Source organism: Homo sapiens, chromosome 10 (genome assembly GCF_000001405.40).
Source record: "Homo sapiens chromosome 10, GRCh38.p14 Primary Assembly".
NCBI lineage: Eukaryota > Metazoa > Chordata > Mammalia > Primates > Hominidae > Homo > Homo sapiens.
This window is the reverse complement of record NC_000010.11, coordinates 45149427-45168319: the sequence shown is the minus strand read 5'-3', so window position 1 is coordinate 45168319 and position 18893 is coordinate 45149427. Positions and strand designations below refer to the sequence as shown.

Sequence of the window (18893 nt, the reverse complement as noted above, 5' to 3'; positions counted from 1 at the left end):
TTTAAAGAGTACAACAAATTGCTCTTACCTATACTCGTCCTTATATTTTCTTTCAGCTTTTTGTTAAAATCAGCTATAAGTCAGTCAAAAACACCTGAGCAGTGTTTTATTACCTGGCTATGTTTTCTTAATTTTTATTTTAAATAATTTATATTATATCTTTTATTCTAGAGAGTTCCTGCTCTCATTTAAACCACTATTTTTGCTGTGTTTTTATAATAGTCTGTCTCATCTTCACTCTCTCATGTAGTCTCTATGTTTATCTTACCCTTCTTCAATGAATAATTTCCTTTCATCCCCCTTCATCTAATTTATTATTATACAAATATGGTGGTATCCATTAGATTTTTTTTTAACCAAAATAACCTAGGACAAAAATTTACCATTACATAGATTATAGAATTGTAGAAATAATTAAAATGTTAAATTACATGTTATATTTTGAAATATCTCTTCACAATTTACAGTTGTATTAATTACCTCTTGTATGGAAAAGTGTGAGAGCTTAGTTTTTAATAGTACCTTATTTAACTGGGTTTGCATTGAAATAGCATAGGTTGTTTCTATTCTGTGTGGCAAAAAGCTAAGTATAAATAATTGTATAAATTCTGCTTCTTCCAAGAAACAGAGAAAAAAAGAATAAATCATGGGGGGCGGCAATGATTGATTAATGAAAATAATACATAGCAACTAAATAGAAACCTGTAAATAAATATGCTGACAATTGAGACAGAGATGCCCTAAAAAGCAGACACTGAAGAAATGTATTCTGTGAGAAAAAAGTCTGGGGTAAATCATTTTTAAAAAGGTGAAGGAGGAGGGAGAAACAAACAAGAGACATAACCAGTCAATCAAGTATGAGCTTCAGTCATGAAAGAAAAGGAAAAACAACTACTATATAAGACATGTGATGAAATACGTAAAATACAGACTTCTGTTCATAATATATTCCTATAATGCTGGTCAGTATTTGCATTACAATTAGTTATTTTGTTAATACCTGTGTAATAAAGATTTTAATTTCATTATTATATAATAAGACACTCAATTAGTTAAACATGGTCTTCAGCCAATACCTAAAAGCTAGAACATTTTTACTACAGAGAGACAAAATTTAAAAAGGAATGTTTCGTAAACTTTTCACCTGAAGAAAGTTTTGGTAATCAGAATTCTAAAGAGTAATGTATTCCTTGAAATGATATGTTTAATAGAACATGAGTTTCGGCTGGGTGCGGTGGCTCACGCCTGTAATCCCAGCAGTTTGGGAGGCCGAGGCTGGTAGATCATGAGGTCAAGAGATCAAGACCATCCTGGCCAACATGGTGAAACACTGTTTCTACTAAAAATACAAAAATTAGCTGGGTGTGATGGCACACGCCTGTAGTCCCAGCTACGCAGGAGGATGAGGCAGGAGAATTGTTTGAACCCAGAAGGCGGAGGTTGCAGTGAGCCGAGATCATGCCACCTGCACACCTGCACCCCAGCCTGGGCAACAGAGAGACTCTGTCTCAAAAAAAAAAAAAAAAAAAAAAAAAAAATGAGTTGAGACTAAAATATATTTAAATATATTAAAATTTTTTTAATCTAAACTCCACTTGGAGGATATAGTGTAACCTTCTTTCCTGTTTACTACATACCTCTGATTTATTGTCTTATTTAAGACATATTTTCTCAAGATAACTCACATGAATTTATGCATTCTAAATATTAAAAGAAAATATACATTTAAGCCATATTTTGGAAATGCATTAGATTTTATTATAAGATATATTATGCATATTATCTTACTTGTAACATTTCATTACATAAAAATTCATTTTTCTGCTTATTTATTCACATTGAAAACTTTTAAAACTCTTTTTATAGGCAAGACTGTATTCTGGGTACACTAGGCTGCACACAAGTATGTTTTCTAACCTGCAGTATCTTATAGTGATGCAAGAACTTCAAAACGATTATTTAAACAACTCAATACAAAATCTTCCAAAATTTAAAATTTTCAAATGTGATAAAAAATCTTTTAACAATATGTTTAAAAATTGCAATTTAAAAATTCTGAAATTAAAATTCTACCATATGCTTAGTAAGATTCTCTGCTTCCATACACTGGTTGTTTACTTGGGGTAAAACCTGCATTCTTCATTGAGATGAAGAGTGTAAAATATACTTTTAATGAAATAATTTAGAAAACACACTGGCATGCCTTAATAATACAGACTCTGAGAAAGAGAATTTACATTTCTAAATTTCTACAATTATTTTTTAAAATTAGAGATAGGCCGGGCATGGTGGCTCATGCCTGTAATCCCAGCATTTTGGGAGGCCGAGGAGGGTGGATTACGAGGTCAGGAGATCGAGACTGTCCTGACTAACAAGGTGAAACCCCATCTCTACTAAAAATACAAAATAAATAAATAAATAAATAAATAAAATAAATTAGCCGGGCATGGTGGTGGGCACCTGTAGTCCCAGCTACTCAGGAGGCTGAGGCAGGAGAATGGCATGAACCCAGGAGGCGGAGGTTGCAGTGAGCCATGACCGTGCCACTGCACTCCAGCCTGGGTGACAGAGCGAGACTCCATCTCAAAAAAATAAATAAAAAATAAAATTAGAGATAAGGTCTCGCTATGTTGCCCACACTGGTCTCAAACTCTTGGGCTCAAGCAATCCTCCTGCATCAGCCTCCTTGGTAGCCGGAACTACAGGCATGTACCACCATGCCCCCAAAATTTTCACAATTTCTAATATTATTTTGGTGTAATTAAAGAACCAAGAAGAGAAACTGAGAAAAAGCTCTCTCCTAAAAACTACATGATATCAAAATAATACGTGCAAAAAAAACCCTATATGCTATGTGGCACAGTTTTGGAACTGAACAGTATCAGAGAGATTCCTTGATTACTATAGTAAGTAACTGGATCCATTAAATATAAATTTAAGCATGAGTTTTTTAAGTGACAATAGAATAATTTTAAAAGTCACAGTAAGTACACTTATCCAAATAAACCTTTACCAGATTTTATATATTCTGTATTGTGGAAAAGTTTTTTCTAATATAATGTTCCTATCACTATGTATTCTCCAGTCCATTCCTTTTGTTGGCACTCACACCCTCAAAATATTTACCAATCATTTGTTATTTACTAAAGTAAAAAAAAAAAAACGTTAAATCAACTACTCATATTTCCATAAAATGTTTTTATCTGACCAACTTTATATTACCAACATGAAATAATGGTAATTACACCACTGCTAAACATGAAAAGTAAATACTATACAGAACTAGATTCCAACTGAGAAAATCAACTTCACAAGAGACCATTTTACATTGGTAGCAAGATTAAAGTCTTCCTTAAGTTTTGTAGACTGTGAATTTTCAATAGTCAGTTTGCTGAACAGATTTTAGAGAAAAAAAGATACAACAAAAATAAGCAAATTCATATATTTAAAAAGAAAATCTGCTAGTTCATATCTTGGTGCTCACTCCAAAAAATGAAAACAAAAACCAAAATCTGGGAAAAATCAGTCTTTGTATATTAAATCATGCTTCTTGGTATAATTAAAATATGCCCTCTGTTTTTAAAAAAGATTTTAGTTACCTATTTTTGACTCTACCTCCCCAACCTATAACATCCAATGAAGACTGACTCTTAGTTCCATAATAAGTAGTGACAGCCAATATAATTGGCATACCCTGAGTATAATTCGTCCTCACAAACTGTCCTTAATGATTAACTGAAAATCTACTTAATGGCTGACATAACTTTTGATATCTAAACTGGAACAAACTTGATAACCTAAAATGAGGTAGAAAGATACATTTACCTTGTTTCTTCTCCATTATCTATCTCTGATTCAAAGACTAATCTGTGTCACTGGAAAATGACATTCTTTGTTTTTCAGCATAAAAACCACTTAAGAAGGCCCTGTTGCTTCCCTTCACCCTAAAACACTGCAGAGAGTGCCCTGAAATATTTGAAATGTTGAAAAGCTGAACCTACAAATGTCAAAACACAAATGTATATTTGTTATTGGGAATGTTTTTCTCAACAAAAATTGAAACATTAAAAATAATAAAATCTAATTACTTATTTTGTACTTGTCTTTCCTTATTCAGGTCTACATAAACTAGAAAAGCCTTAAAAATCTTCATAGGTACTTATACCCAAGGAGAGAGACTGCTAGAAAAACTGAGTCCTGATAGTTGGATTTCTCTAAATACTATATTTACACAGAGAGAAAGATCTGGAAGTGGGAGCCACTATATATAGTAAAAGTGTCTCCCACTTCCAGATCTTTCTTCTGCAGAGCTTCATGGCAGTCTCCAACCTTTAAATATTCTGCTCATCAAAGCACAGATTACTGAAAAGATAAACTCAATGACCAACCTAGAAGCTCTGTATTTACCTGTTCCTGGAAAACAACTAAATGGAGTCTCAGTCAGTCATTCACCTCCAGCGTAAGCATGTTATCAAAAACCCAACTGAACCATGACTTATTTGACAGCCAATCTTACCCCTGCTTTACATGTACATGGGTAAGACATCAGAGGCTTGGAAAAAGAGGCAAAGGGGAGGGGACACCTGCCCTGGGCCACAGATCTATGTAATTCAGCAACCTTCAATCCCCTAGCACTCAAGGGGCTCTAAGCCACTCCTGTGAGATTTGGGGTGAAAGAACACAATAGGACATTTCTATCTGCTTGCAGAGAATTTTTGCAGTGGCTTTTTTTTTTAATCTTTCAATAGAAAGCATGAAGTGTGTCCATTTCTCCAATTAAAGAAGCGAAAAAGCAGCGACCTATTCAGGACTTCCTTTGAACCCTATTTTAGTATGAGTTTCTAGATAACTCCCAATGTCATCTGTGTTTTTGTTCCTCTAATTTATCTTCATCAAACTTGTCATAAGATCCAATATTCTGATCTCTTTGGTAAAATCCTTACTCCTACCAGTCCTGGGATTGTTTCTCTTCAAACTTGGCCTTTCCCTGGTAATTCCATTCTTATCTACTTCCACTGGGTTCTCCAGCTAATTCCATTCTTATCCCTTTCCATTTGTTTAATTAGACCCATTCCCTTTTCTTTCTATTATTCAAACACTCACTCACATGATGTTATAAAAACAAGAGTAATGGGCTTTGAAATGAGTTTAAATATTACTTCTGCTACCTCTGATATTTAAATAAGTCACTTTGAGTTTCAGATTCTCCATCTGAACAACCATTTTTCCAGGATATTAAATACAGATTGAAATATGAAAGTATTTTGATTAGTCTCCAAGAGTCCTTACAATCCTAAAATTCCATGTGCTTTTAATTTTAGCTATAGAAAAATGGGGCTGGTGGAAAGAATAAAATCATACACGAAAAGAACACCGAGGAAAGCAGAGAAGAAAGTAACCAGGAAAAGACTATAGAAAAGTCATGGAAGAAGAAAAAAGACTCTAAAAAAAAATGAAGAGTGCATGCAACTAGGCAGGGTACTGCTTTGAAGAAAAACTAAACTGGGAAGTCAGTAAATAGAGAAATCTATAAGAAATAGCCTCTAAATATGATTAATATAACATATCTATATGTAGATATTCTCCACTAAGAGTAAAATAATTCATCTATAGGATTCACCAGGTCTTGCTTATGAAACAAAAACCTATGTCTTGTGGCCACAGCTAAGTAAGGTCTGCTCTAAAAACTTTGGTAATAAAAACAAGGTACTGGTTATCACTTTGACTATTAAACATATTAGAACAAAGTCTTGGATTAACCAGTGTTCTAAGGGAAAACTCTAAAAAGAGGTAACATATAACAAAATGTGACTTTGTGAATTGATCCCATCTGGACCTGTACCTTGATTCTAGTGATGCACAGGTCTCCATCAATCTATGCCTTGGGGCAAGAGAAGGGATTTGGGAGCAAGGTAGGCTGATGGCAAACTCAAGGGTCAGCTACTTTTTAGCTGTGAAATCATAGGCCAATTAATCAACCTCTCTGAACCACATTTGCCTGGTTAATACAAAGTAGGTGATAGTAGCACAGATGCTTTGCAAAACTGTGTGATGACTATGTGAGATAATACATATTAAGCACATGTTGTCTATCCCAGAGTAGAACACTCAAAAGATACTGGTTTCTTTATATTTTCTGAGTTAACATACATGTTTTAAAAAACTGGAAAGTCTTACCTGAATATAGACTCTACAGAACTCACATCCACTATTAAAGAAAAAAAGTAAAATATATTAAATCAACAAATATAAATAAAAAATACAGAATATTAAAAACATAAGAGGGCATGATGGCACATGCCTGTAATCCCAGCTACTTGGGAAGGTGAGGCAGGAGGATCACCTGAGAAGCCCAGGAGTCTGAAAGCAGCCTGGGAGACATCATGAGACTTCAACTTAATTTAAAAGAATCATGCACACTTTCGTGCATGATTCAGGTCTTGTTTAAAAAAGCATAATACTCCAATACTTTGTTACAAAGACTCAGATGATTTGTCATAAAGCATTCATTTGAGACCATACATTGAGACTATAGTAAAATTATTATTAAGCATTATATTGGTAGGAAATTAATGCATTAACAACTCTTATTTCCACTCCTTTATAGTTCTCAAGTGCAAGCAAAGATAGAATTTATCACAATTTGGTATCTACAAGTGAACTACAGTATACAATAGTCATAATCCAAACAGAACCCTATAAGACTGACAGAAAATTGTATTATTAGCAGAATTAGTGTAAGTGGACAGTGTCAATCTTAGAAACTACAATTTCTAGACAAATGAACTAGAAGCAGTTAGAACAGAGTATACAGTAGTCACTCTTTATCTGCTCTATGTGTAGAAAGAAACACACACAACATGATTTCCCTCTGCTCTCACACCACAACAATCATCAAAACAGAAGACTTCTGCGACCAAATGTGTGGAGGATTTTCTCCACCAACAAGTAAGCAACCAATTCTGTAGCAGAAACCAGCTGGTTGTCCTTTATTTAATTCCAACACTGTCTATCTAGAAATAGTCTCAGATCCCACAGGCGGAGGGCTCAGTCTCACAAGACTGCCCTCCCATAACAGTTGCAAATCTGGGTCTCTGAAACATCTAACCAGCTGGTTTCAAGTTGGGGTTCTCATGACTCCCTCTTTGGGTTTGATTAACATGCTAGAGTGCCCCAAATACTAAGGGAAACACATTTAACAGTTTATTATGAAGGGTATCACAAAGCAGACACATGAAGAGATGCATAGGGCAAGATATAGGGGAAGGGGCATGGGGCTTCCTTGCCCTCCCAGGGCACATCGGCCTCCAAACACTTCCATACATTCAACTATCTGGAAGGTCTCTGATCCCAGTCCTTCTGTGTTCTTAAGAAAGCTTTATTACATAGGCATGAATGAACAAATCTGTGGCTATTGGTAATTGACCTAACTTTCATCTCCTCTCACCTCCTAGGAGGTTGAGGGGTGGGGCTGAAAGTCCCAACACTCTAATCATGCCTTGTTCTTTTTTGTGACCAGCTCCTATCCTGAAGCTACCTAGGGACCGCCAGCCATCACTCAATTATTAGCATACAAAGACATCACTTTGGAGATTCTAAACATTTTATGAGTTTTATGCCAGAAAACAGTGTTGAAGACCAAACATATGTTTCACAATATAATAGCCATGGTTTTGATTTCCATGATTTCAGTTACTCATGGTCAACCATAGTCCAAAAATATTAAATGGGGAATTCCAGAAATATACAAGTCATAAGTTCTAAATAATGTGTCATTCTAAAGAGTACGATGAAGTATTAAGACATCATGTTCCATCTCACCCAGGTCATGAATCATCCCTTTGTATATGCTATCTGCCCATTAGTCATCAAAATGGTCTGTTCCTGAACCCCAACCATCAACATTATCATGGCTCAATGATCCACATGAAGCAGATGATCCACCTTCTGATATGTAGTCAGATAGCCAGAAATAATTAATAGCTTAACACCACATGACAACTCCTACCTCATTCACCTGACTTCATCTCATCACACAGGCATTATATCATCTCACAGTCATCACAAGAAAAAGAAGAGTGAGTACAATACAAGACACTTTGAGAGACCACATTCACCTAACTTTGATTACAATATATTGTTATTGTTTTATCATAAGTTATTGTTAATTTCTTACTGTGCCTAATTTATAAATTAGACTTTATCATAAATAAGCATAAATAGAAAAAACATGTATATATAGGGTTTCATACTATCCACAATTTCAGACATTCACTGGGTGTCTTAGAAAATACTCCCCATGGATAAGGGTGAATTACTGTACTTATTTGTGTACGTGGGTGTGTGTGTTCGTGTGAGAGACACACACAACACAGATCTCCACTATCCACAAGAAACAGATAAAAAAGACAACACTTTTCCTCACACATGACGCTTAGGTTTTGACAATTCTGGAAAAATGTTGGCAGGTGTACTCACCAGTCTAGATAATTTCCCAGACCCTGTGTATGTATGCTGCTTTAGTTACAAAAAGTTAGGTAGGATCTTGGGAGATTTCTTCTTGGACAACAGAAATATCAACCACATCAACAGTATACCTAACAACTCTAAAATAATTCTTTTGAACAGATTACCACTGAAGAACTTGTAAGTTAAATCCAATTCACTTTTCAGTAATCTTACTGCTTGAAATTCTCACATTTAAAAAAAATTTGCAACATCACTTTCTCTGACTCCTCTCCTACTTTTCTTTAGCCACTGCTCAGTCTCCTTTACCAAGTCCTTTGACTCTGTGAAATGTTGATATTCCCAGGGTTTTGTCAATGGCTTTCTTCTTATTCTATATCTTCTGCATCACGGATAAGCTCATTGAGATCTATGGCTTTGCCCAATAATTATAATAAAATTATCCTAAGCCTACATCTCCAACCAGAGTTCTATCTCCAGCTAGAAATGCCTATAATCCAATTACCTACTGAAAATATCCCACATGAATGTTTCATTAAACTCATTATGTAAAGAAAACTGCTGGTCTGTCCCATGACTGTTTGCTCTTCTCTGTTAACCTGACAATTTCCTACTCCTTCCCCATGAGCATTGTAAATGCTCATGCACAATCTGGAAACTTATGAATGACCTGAGATTGTATCTGTCCCCTAGCTTTTTAAACTCAATAATCACTAAACCATATTAACTGTACATCTTTTCTGCCTTTGCTTTATCTTTCCAGTGCCACTGGAAATACAAACTATTTTATATTTATATTGCCTAGTTAGACATGGCCCCTTAACTGATGGCTTTCACAGGGAAAAAGAAACCCTAACAGTTACTACTGTTATTTTTTAAGTTAAAAAAATTTCAGTAAAACAAATCAAAATAAAATAATGGCAAAGAAAGACTTACATATTTAAATGTGTAAACTGAGCTTCTGAACTTGATTCATTTTATCCTGGATGGGTCAAACTTTCATAATAGATTGATACTAGGCCACAGATTGGTGACAAAAAAACAAAAAGGAGACTATAGCATGAACTACTACACAAGCTTACTTTGTCTTTAAATCTTTTTATGTAATTACCCTCCATCTATCTTTTATATGAAGGGCCAGCAAACTATAGGCCACAGGCCAAATTCAGCTTACCAAATGGTTTTTTATACAAAGTTTTATTGGAGTACAATCATGCCTATTTGCTCACACATTATCTATGACTGCTTTCACCCTACAATGCAGAGTTCAATAGCTGTTATAGAGACCACATGGCCTAATATATTTCTTTTTCTTTTTTTTTTTTTTTTGAGATGGAGTGTTGCTCTGTCACCCAGGCTGTAGTGCGGTGGTGCAATCTCAGCCCACTGAAGCCTCCGCCTCCTGGGTTCAAGCAATCCTCCTGCCTCAGCCTCCTGAGTAGCTGGGATTTCAGGTGCATGCCACCACACCTGGCTAATTTTTGTATTTTTAGTAGAGACAGGGTTTCACCATGTTGGCCAGGCTGTTCTTGAACTCCTGACCTCATGCTCCACGTGCCTTGGCCTCCCAAAGTGCTGGGATAACAGGCGTGAGCCACCATGTCCGGCAGCCTAACGTATTTCCTATCTGGCACTTTACAAGAAAAGTTTGCCAATCTCTGCCTTATACCATGACCAGTATGCCCTGATACTCAAATCTAATCTTGTGACTCCCTTGCTTAAACTTTTCCAATGAATCCCTACAGAAAACATTGCTGGCTTCCTATGCAAAGACATTATTCTTTCTTGCTGCAGAAACACAAGCTTATTTAGATATTCATTATTCCACTACCCCATCCCATCTCAAAAAGAGAAATCATTATTCTAAGCTAATCACAGTAATTACATTTGCTTTGCTAGTGACTGGTTTAGAAATGAGCATGTGGTATAATCCAGCCAATAAAATGTCACAGGAAGATTACTGCAAGCTTCCAAGTTTTCTCCCTATTTAAAAGAAACATGTGAACAAAAGCAGCCCTTCCAGCCTTTAAATATTGTCTTGAGAGAGCATGATGATTGGAGCTGTTGCTAATTAGCCAACCAAAAGTGGAGTCCTGGCTGGGCACGGTGGCTCATGGCTGAATTCCCAGCAGTTTTGGAGGCCAAGGCAGGCATATCATGAGGTCAGGAGTTCGAGTCTGGCCAATATAGTGAAACCCCATCTCTACTAAAAATACAAAAAATTATCCGGAGTGGTGGCGGGCACCTGTAATCCTAGCTACTTGGGAGGCTAAGGCAGGAGAATCACCAGGAGGCAGAGGTTGCAGTGAGCCGAGATTGCTCTTGCCATTGCACTCCAGCCCAGACAACACTGTGAGACTCTGTCTCAAATGAAAAACAAACAAAAAAATGTGGGATCCTATAATATCCCTGTACCACCAAAACAACTTTGGTTCCTATGGTTTTAGCCATTGTTAGTTAGTTCACTTAGTATTTACAGCCAGAAGTATTGTGAGAATTTTTCCAGGGCCTACGGAATAATATCTACTTATTTCTATACTATGAAAAAGTGTTGCCTAAGCTTGCCTTATTTAGATATTCAAGTCATTCCCAGCTACTCCCATATCACACTTTTTTCACTAAGAAACCTGAAATGCCAATAAACCTTACAAAGTTCACTCAAGCATCTTACCATTTGTACTTGCTTTTGTAGATGTTTCTTTTGTAGGACACGTGAGCATCTTAGATGTTCCTTTTTCCAAAACTTCAGTTTTATTAGGTATTACTCCTGCCACGCATTCAGTCTTTACAGATGTTTATTTTTCCTCCCATGTGATCTTCCTAGGTCTTTCTTTTGCTGGCCATGCAAATTTCTTAGATGTTTCTTTTGCAGTCCTCATAATTTTCTTAGGTGTTTCTTCTGCTGACTGTTCAAACTTTCCAGATGTTGCTTTCCCCAAACATTGAATTTTGTCAGCTGTTCCCTCCACCAAGGGTGCAGCCTCATCAGGTGGTTTTTCCACCAAGCTTTCAGCCATGTCAGGTGTTCTTTCCGCCAAGGGTGCAGCCTCATCAGGTGTTCCTTCAGATGTTCCTTCTGCCAAACACACAATCTGGTTAAATTTTCCTTCTGCTAAATATCATCCTCCTGACTCTTCACCTGGCAAACTTCTACTCACTCTGTATGCTTTCCTTAAATACTACCAAAGTTCTCTTTTCTCGCGTTTTTTTTTTTTAGACTGAGTCTTGCTCTGTCACCCAGGCTGGAGTGCAGTGGTGCAAACTCAGCTTAATGCAATTCAAGCAATTCTCCTATCTCAGCCTCCCAAGTAGCTGGAATTACAGGTACGGGCCACATCGCCTGGCTAACTTTTCGTATTTAGTAGAGACAGGTTTCACCATATTAGTCAGGCTGGCCTCAAACTCCTGAGCTCAAGCAATCCATCTGCCTTGGCCTCCCAAAGTGCTAGGATTACAGGAGTGAGCCACTGTGCCTGGACACTACCAAACTTTTTAAAGCTCTAATCCTTCACCTTGGATGTTTTTTACTGTGCTACAGTAAGAGGAAAAATGTCAGTCAGCACTGCTTCGTGGAAAATAAAAGGATGATGAGTTCAGCGAGCCTCAAGGCTGAGGTGTGATGGTGCTCAGTGAGACCTCTCCAATATGGTCATGTTTAAACTGTGACACAAATAGAAAGGAGAGGCACAGAAAGCCCTAAAGAAAGAGCATTCCACAAACACCACCCCTCAGCATGACAGTGCAGGAGGCTGTGACTTGAGAGGAAGAAAGGTACACAGACCACCATGGTGGCTGGCACAGAGCAAGCAATCCACAGAGGGGATGATGGGATGACAGAGGAACAGCAGGGCACAGCTCACCCGCGCCCCTACAGGCCCGATCAGGGGCTGTGAGGTTATTCCAGGTACAGTGGGAAGCCACTACAGATGGCAGACCAGAGAATGACAGGCTTCACCTCCTACTTCCAATGAAACTAACCTGGCTGCTCTGTGGCATGGCTTTGACTGAGCGCTGGAAGGCAGTGAAGGAAGATGGGGTATGGTCTGGGATTTGTATTCAGGGCGGAATCAGCAAGCCTTGCTAGGCTGGATGTGGGAAGGGAGAAAAGTAACACCTCAAGGTAACTCTTGGGTGTCTGGCCAGGTAGACTCAAAGACAAGTGCATTGGAGGAAAATGGGGACTCTTCCTGGGACAGGTCAGGTCCCAGAAGGGGTCAAACAAGTGGATGAATACAAAGGTCCAGTGTGAGGAGAATTTTAAGGGCCAGGAATGAGAGTCATGAAGATACGGACAATATATTTTTTTAAGATGTGGGCAGAGTGGGATTATTTTATTTTATTTTTTGAGATAGCATCTTTCTCTGTCACCTACGCTGGAGTGCAGTAGTGTGATAAGTACTCACTGCAGCCTCAACCTTCTGAGCTCAAGCAATCTTCCCGCCAAGTTTTTATTTTGTTTAAGAAACGTGGTTTTGACCTAGTATTGTGGCTTGTGCCTGTAATCCCAGCATTTGGGGAGGCTTTGAAGGGTGGATTGCTCGAGGCTGGGAGTTGGAGATCAGCCTGGGCAGCAAAAAAAGGAAGAGGATGAATTCATGGAAGATAATTTTTCCACAGACCATGGATGGAGAGGATAAATTCAGTATGATTCAAGTGCATTACATTTATTGTGCACTTTATTTCTATTATTATTACTTTCTAATACATAATGAAATAATTATACAACTTACCATAATGTAGAATCAGTGGGAAGCCCAAGATTGTTTTTCTGCCACTATACAGTCTCAACTGAGGATGATGGGAGACAGTGACAGATCATCAGGCAATAGATTCTCATAAGGGCAACACAACCTACTTCCTTGGCATGGGCAGTTCACAATAGGGTTCACACTCTTATGAGAATCTAATGTTGCCTCTGATCTGACAGGAGGAAGAGCTCAGATGGTAATGCCAGCGATGGGGAGGGACTGTAAATACACATGAAGCTTCACTCACTGGCCACTGCTCACCTCCTGCTGTGCGTTCCACAAGCTGGGCATCCCAGCTCAGGTACATTTGAAAGGATCCATCCCCCGCCAGTCTTTATAGTCATCTTTACTGCCATAGTAGTGAAGTATAGCTGCCACTTAGCTCCCAAGGCATGTGCCTCAGCATGCATTTCATCACAATCAACAAACAGGAGCTTGGGTCATTGTGAGGTCACTTCCTATAAATTACCAGCATTCCATTTCCCATTGGCAAGAAGCTAAGCACTGCTACTTGAATAACCAAACCTATGCCCAAATCCCATCTTTGTGGGGCTATCTCCTGGTACTCTTCCTAGCATTTTTCTCTTTGTCAGAGTCCAATCAGGAGACATAAATCACTTAAATACAAACTGGTAACATTTAATGTAAGTATTACAACAGGGGAACAGCATAATGAGGGATTGGCCAGCACAAGGTAAAGAAATGCACCACAACATAACCTGTTTCACTTTATGGAAAGCACTGATGTTTATAAAATAGTCATGGTAAATTTATAAAACTAATAGCTAATTATTTTTACTCAGAATAGTACTAAATTAAGAATATAGGCCAGGCGTGGTGGCTCATGCCTGTAATCCCAGCACTTTGGGAGGCCGAGGTGGGTGGATCACCTGAGGTCAGTTGTTCAAGACCAGCCTGACCAACATGGTGAAACTCCATCTCTATTAAAAAATACAAAAATTAGCCAGGCATGGTGGCAAGTGCCTGTAATCCCAGCTACTCAGGAGGCTGAGGCAGGAGAACTGCTTGAACCCGGGAGGCGGAGGTTGCAGTGAGCCAAGATAAAGTGGAAGCATTTATTATGTATTTATATGCCAGGAATTAATGTGAAGCACTTTACTATCTTATCCAATCTTCAGGATAGATCTTCAGTTCTCATGACCACAAAAGACCAAGTTTCAGACAGGAGAAGAGACGTGGCCCGGCAGTGTGTCCCTAGAGCCTATGATCTTGTCACTAGGTTACAGTGCTTCCAGGTAGCACACGGTATGAGATTTTGCTTTAAACAAACCAATAAAAAACACAGGCAAAAAAGGCGTAAACTATTAAAAAGTGAAAGAAACATTAAGAGAACCTTAACCAAATAACTAAAAATATTATGGAAAAGTTATTGAATTCATGAGCAAATTTACTCTAACTTTAGATTTTCATTGAGTGGTAGGTTGTATTACTCATGATGAATAAAACATGTTCATTTTAAGTGTATTAAATATCATTAATATGGCTTATCATATTTAAATGTTCACTTAAAGCAATCCAGTTAAAGTTCTGCATATCATACAATTTTATACCTTGCTAGTTGATTGCAAAGTAAATAGTTATCCAAATAAAAACAGTAAAACGTGAAGTTTTTCACTGGTTGATGCTATTGTGAGGTGAGCATTTGATATATACAAACAGATGATAATAACAGATTGCTTACTTCTTTCATCAGTATATAAAGGTGGCTTCAGGATAGAATAGTATTAAGGGCAAAGAAGAATTTGAAATTTAACGTCAACTCAGTGATGCATTAAGATAAAAACAGAGACAACAGGGGCATCCTGGTGAATACTGATTTTAACAAAGCAGATTCAGAGAAACTATTAGTTTAAAAAATCTTCAATTAAATCTCTGTAATCCAGGGCTTTGCAATAAATATGTAAATAAATCCCCAAATATCCATGCTAAAAGTTTAAAAGAAATGCTAGCTGATAATTAAGGAAATATAGCTTTTCCTTAGCTTTGCAGTAATCTAGAAACAAAGAATGTTTCTAGTACTTAGACAGACACTGCAAAGCACCTTACAAAGAGAGACGTGTAAGGATGACTCGATTCACTGGCAGCCCTGGGCTTGTCCACAGTACCCCCAAAATTAACAGTAACTCCACTGTGTAAATGCTCATGAACAAAGTATTACAGGACTTTTCCAGTTTAAACATACCATATTTTCTTTCAGACAATTCTTCAATTGTTTACGTAGATAAGTGATGCAACCATTCCATTTCTCTGAAAATTGAGCAAAAGTTGATTCTCAGTAATAGGTCCCTATGTCAGAGCACCACTAACATATAATGACTTATATCCTATGTTTTACATCCTAACAGTCCATATCATTTTACTGCTTTCCAAATAATTTTTCCAAAGAACTTTTCCCTTTTTTGGTGGTTCTTACAATTAGTTTAATGGGAGACTAAAAGAGAAGTTTTAAAGTTTAGGTCCTCTTTTTAGCCTTTAAATTTCTGAAAAGCAGGAGGGCAGAAAAGATCAATCAAATTAACACGACAAAAGGGAGACCACAATAAGGAGGTCTCCAGGGGTATTTTAGCAGACTTCCTAAAACATGTCTTAGCTGTGTGGAAATAAGACTTTAGAGTGGCCAGGTATGGTGGTGCAGGCGTGTAATCCTAGCATTTTGGGAGGCTGAGGCGGGCGGATCGCTTTGAGCTCAGGGCAACAAAGTGAAACCCCCATCTCTACCAAAAATACAAAAATTTGCCAGGCCTGATGGAGTGAACCTGTAGTCTCAGCTACTTGGGAGACTGAGGCCGGGGGATGGCTTGAGCACAGGAGGCAGAGGGTGCAGAGAGCAGAGGTAGCGCCACTACACTCCAGCCTGGGCAAAAGAGCGAGACCCTGCCTCAAAAAACAAAACAACAACAACAACAACAAAAGCTGCAAGGTACCTGGGGCCTCTTCTCCTTCGCTGACTTCGGGTCTGCACGGGGGCAGCTGCATGGGCCTCCCGGGCCAGGAGGCCTCCTGGGCCAAGTCCCCATTGCACTACTACACGACTGGTGGCAGTATGACGCAGAGCTGCACCAGGAGCTGTGCTGCAAGATCGCTGCTGGCGGCTGAGGCTCACTGCCAGGCCTCACTGGTGGCTCGGGCAAAGAGGTGCAGCTCTGAAGAGAATGAGGGAGACAATGCCAATGCTACCAGTGCCAACGATGTGGAAAAAGTGCGGTAGCTGCTGGAAAATGGCACGGATCCCTGTGCAGCTGACAAGGGCCACACAGCTCTACACTCTGTCTCCTGCAATGGTAATGACCACATTCTGGCCTGTACCAACCACAACTCTGTCATCACCATACTGCTGCGACGAGGGGCCTGGTGGATGCCCTGGACCAAGCTGGCCATATGCCTCCATACCTGGCCAAGTCGAAGCTGAACATCCTGCAGGAGGACCACTCCCAGTGCCTGGAAGCTGTGTGACTGGAGGTGAAGCAGATCATCCCAATGCTCAAGAAGTACCCGGTGCACCTATGGTGACGTGAACAACTGGAATGGCTGGACCACCTCTGCACCCACCTCCAGATGACCAGTACCAAAGAGCAGGTGGATAAAGTGCCCGACCTCCCAGCCAGCTCCACCTCCCTCAGTCTTTGGATACAGAGCATGGAGGAGGTTGCAAGAGAGGCTCCCTGGCTTCCTGTCACTGCCCCCACTAGTCTCCGAGTACAAAGAAAAAGCCCAGCATCTGGGACTTGGAAGCTGCCCTTGTCAGGTGAGGAAATTGCCGTCACCCCCAGATGCTGTGGGGTAGAGATGCTCTCCCCACAGCCTCAGGGCTACTCCTAGTGCCACAGTCTCCAGCATCTCTGTGGACCGGGACGATAGCCCCCAGCTGCTTCCTCCGGCTCCTGTGGCACTAGGCCAGGCTCTACAGCCTCACTTCAGCTCCGCAGACCTGCACTGTCCTAGCAGACCTCGCTCACCCCATGGCCTCCATGGTGCCCTCACCAGGCCCTAGACCCTTCTCTATGTTCCTTCCCAGCCATGAGCTTGTTTCAGTCACTTGGTTTGGCCTACGTGGGCACCCTCTGGCCAAGGGGGCTGCCGTGGGGGCTGCTGGTTGGCCCTGTGCCTCTCATCAGAACTTAGATTTAGACATGTCACCAGACTTTCAAGGAAACACTGCAGTGGGTGTCTCTGGTTGGAAGAGAGGGTTGATGAGGGCTAGACCTTAAAAATACAAGTTTAAGAGGTACCCTAGACCTTAAAAATTCAAAGTTAAGAAGTACCCCAAAGCAAAAAATCCCAACTGTTTTTCTCCCAATCATTAAAACACCAGAGGGTGTAATGGTTTTGCAGTCTACTTGTAGTATTTTGCAGCCTAGCTGTATTAGGCTTATAAGTGGCCCCTCAATATGCCCATATCCTGATCCAGGAACCTGTGAACATTACCTTATATGGTAAAAGAAGCTTTGCAGATGTAATGAAGTTAAGGACCTTTGGCAGGGAAGATTATCCCGGCTTCTTTAGGTGGCAAGTTGATGTACTCACTGATCCTTGTAAGAGCAGAGCAGGTGATGGGAGAGTGGTGGGAGGTGTAGTGATGGAAGCGAGAAATTGGAGTCATTCAAGGAGGGCATCAAAAGTCGAGGAGTGCAGGCTGCCTCCAGAGCCAGGAAATGGATTCTCCCACAGAGCCTCCGAAGGCACTTGCCCTGCTCCCACCTTGACTCAGTGGGAGGGAATTTAGAATTCTGGCCTCCAGAACTGTGAGAGAATACATATATGTTGTTTAAAGACACTAAGTGTGTGGCTCACGCCTGTAATCCCAGAACTTTGGGAGGCCAAGACAGGTGAATCACTAGGTCAGGAGACCGAGACCATCCTGGCTAACACGATGAAACCCCACCTCTACTAAAAATACGAAACATTAGCCAGGTGTGGTGGCGGGTTCCTGTAGTCCCAGCTACTTGGGAGGCTGAGGCACGAGAATGGCATGAACCCACAAGGCGGAGCTTGCAACGAGCTGAGATCGCACCACTGCACTCCAGCCTGAGTGACAGAGCGAGACTCCATCTGAAAATAATAATAATAATAATAATAATAATAATAATAATAATTTGTTGCAGCAGCAACAGGAAGCTAGTATTGCAGTGAAGCCTCAAAATCCACCTGAAGAAGGTTTCCCCATGACACATCACTTGGCTGTCTCCCTTGCAACCTCCAGACTCTAGGTCACAAGCCCTCACATTAAGCCCAAACGTTCAATATCCTTTGTAACATGGCCTGGCCCCAATAGCGACTGGACAATGGTAGTCAATGGCTTTAAAATGGAATCTTTGACTTTCAAATTCAACGAAATCTTGAAAATTTTATCCACTGCAATGGCAAGTGGTCCAAGGTTTCCTATATTCAAGCTTTCACTTACCTCCGCTACTAACCTTACCTTTGTCAATCTTGCACTTCTTACCAGGCTCTTAACAAACCTGTTATCAGAAGGAAACTCATTAGCTGGTTCTGCAGCTAAACAGTCAGCCCTTAAGCCCCATCCCATACTACCTGTTTCCCAGCTCAACAGCCCTCATACTCACAAGGAGAAAGCCTCAATCTTTCTTTGGCTGGGGCCACAAAAACGGAGGGCTGGTTCTTTCTAGACAATAAGCTCGTTTTGCCCATGTCCCAGAA

At 39.7% G+C, this 18893-nt stretch overlaps 1 non-coding gene and 3 pseudogenes across 3 annotated transcripts in view; 2 read left to right on the top strand and 2 right to left on the bottom strand.

Moving 5' to 3' along the window:
• Window positions 1–13658, bottom strand: part of ANKRD30BP3 (ankyrin repeat domain 30B pseudogene 3) — a 31380-nt pseudogene extending 17722 nt beyond the window's left edge. Inside the window, exons 1-2 of the transcript NR_033891.1 lie at window positions 13462–13658; window positions 11138–11542 (exon numbers count right to left, since the gene is read on the bottom strand). The product of NR_033891.1 is annotated as an ankyrin repeat domain 30B pseudogene 3 (transcript). The remainder of the gene's footprint in view (window positions 1–11137; window positions 11543–13461) is intronic.
• Window positions 4232–4306, bottom strand: MIR3156-1 (microRNA 3156-1). The gene has a single exon (NR_036112.1). It is a non-coding gene; the product is annotated as a microRNA 3156-1 (primary transcript).
• Window positions 13659–13723: 65 nt separating the features above from the next.
• RSU1P2 (Ras suppressor protein 1 pseudogene 2) overlaps window positions 13724–18893 on the top strand; it is a 55121-nt pseudogene continuing 49951 nt past the window's right edge. The window contains exons 1-2 of the transcript NR_024472.1: window positions 13724–13858; window positions 14354–14480. The product of NR_024472.1 is annotated as a Ras suppressor protein 1 pseudogene 2 (transcript). The remainder of the gene's footprint in view (window positions 13859–14353; window positions 14481–18893) is intronic.
• Window positions 16163–17078, top strand: ANKRD54P1 (ankyrin repeat domain 54 pseudogene 1; annotated as a pseudogene).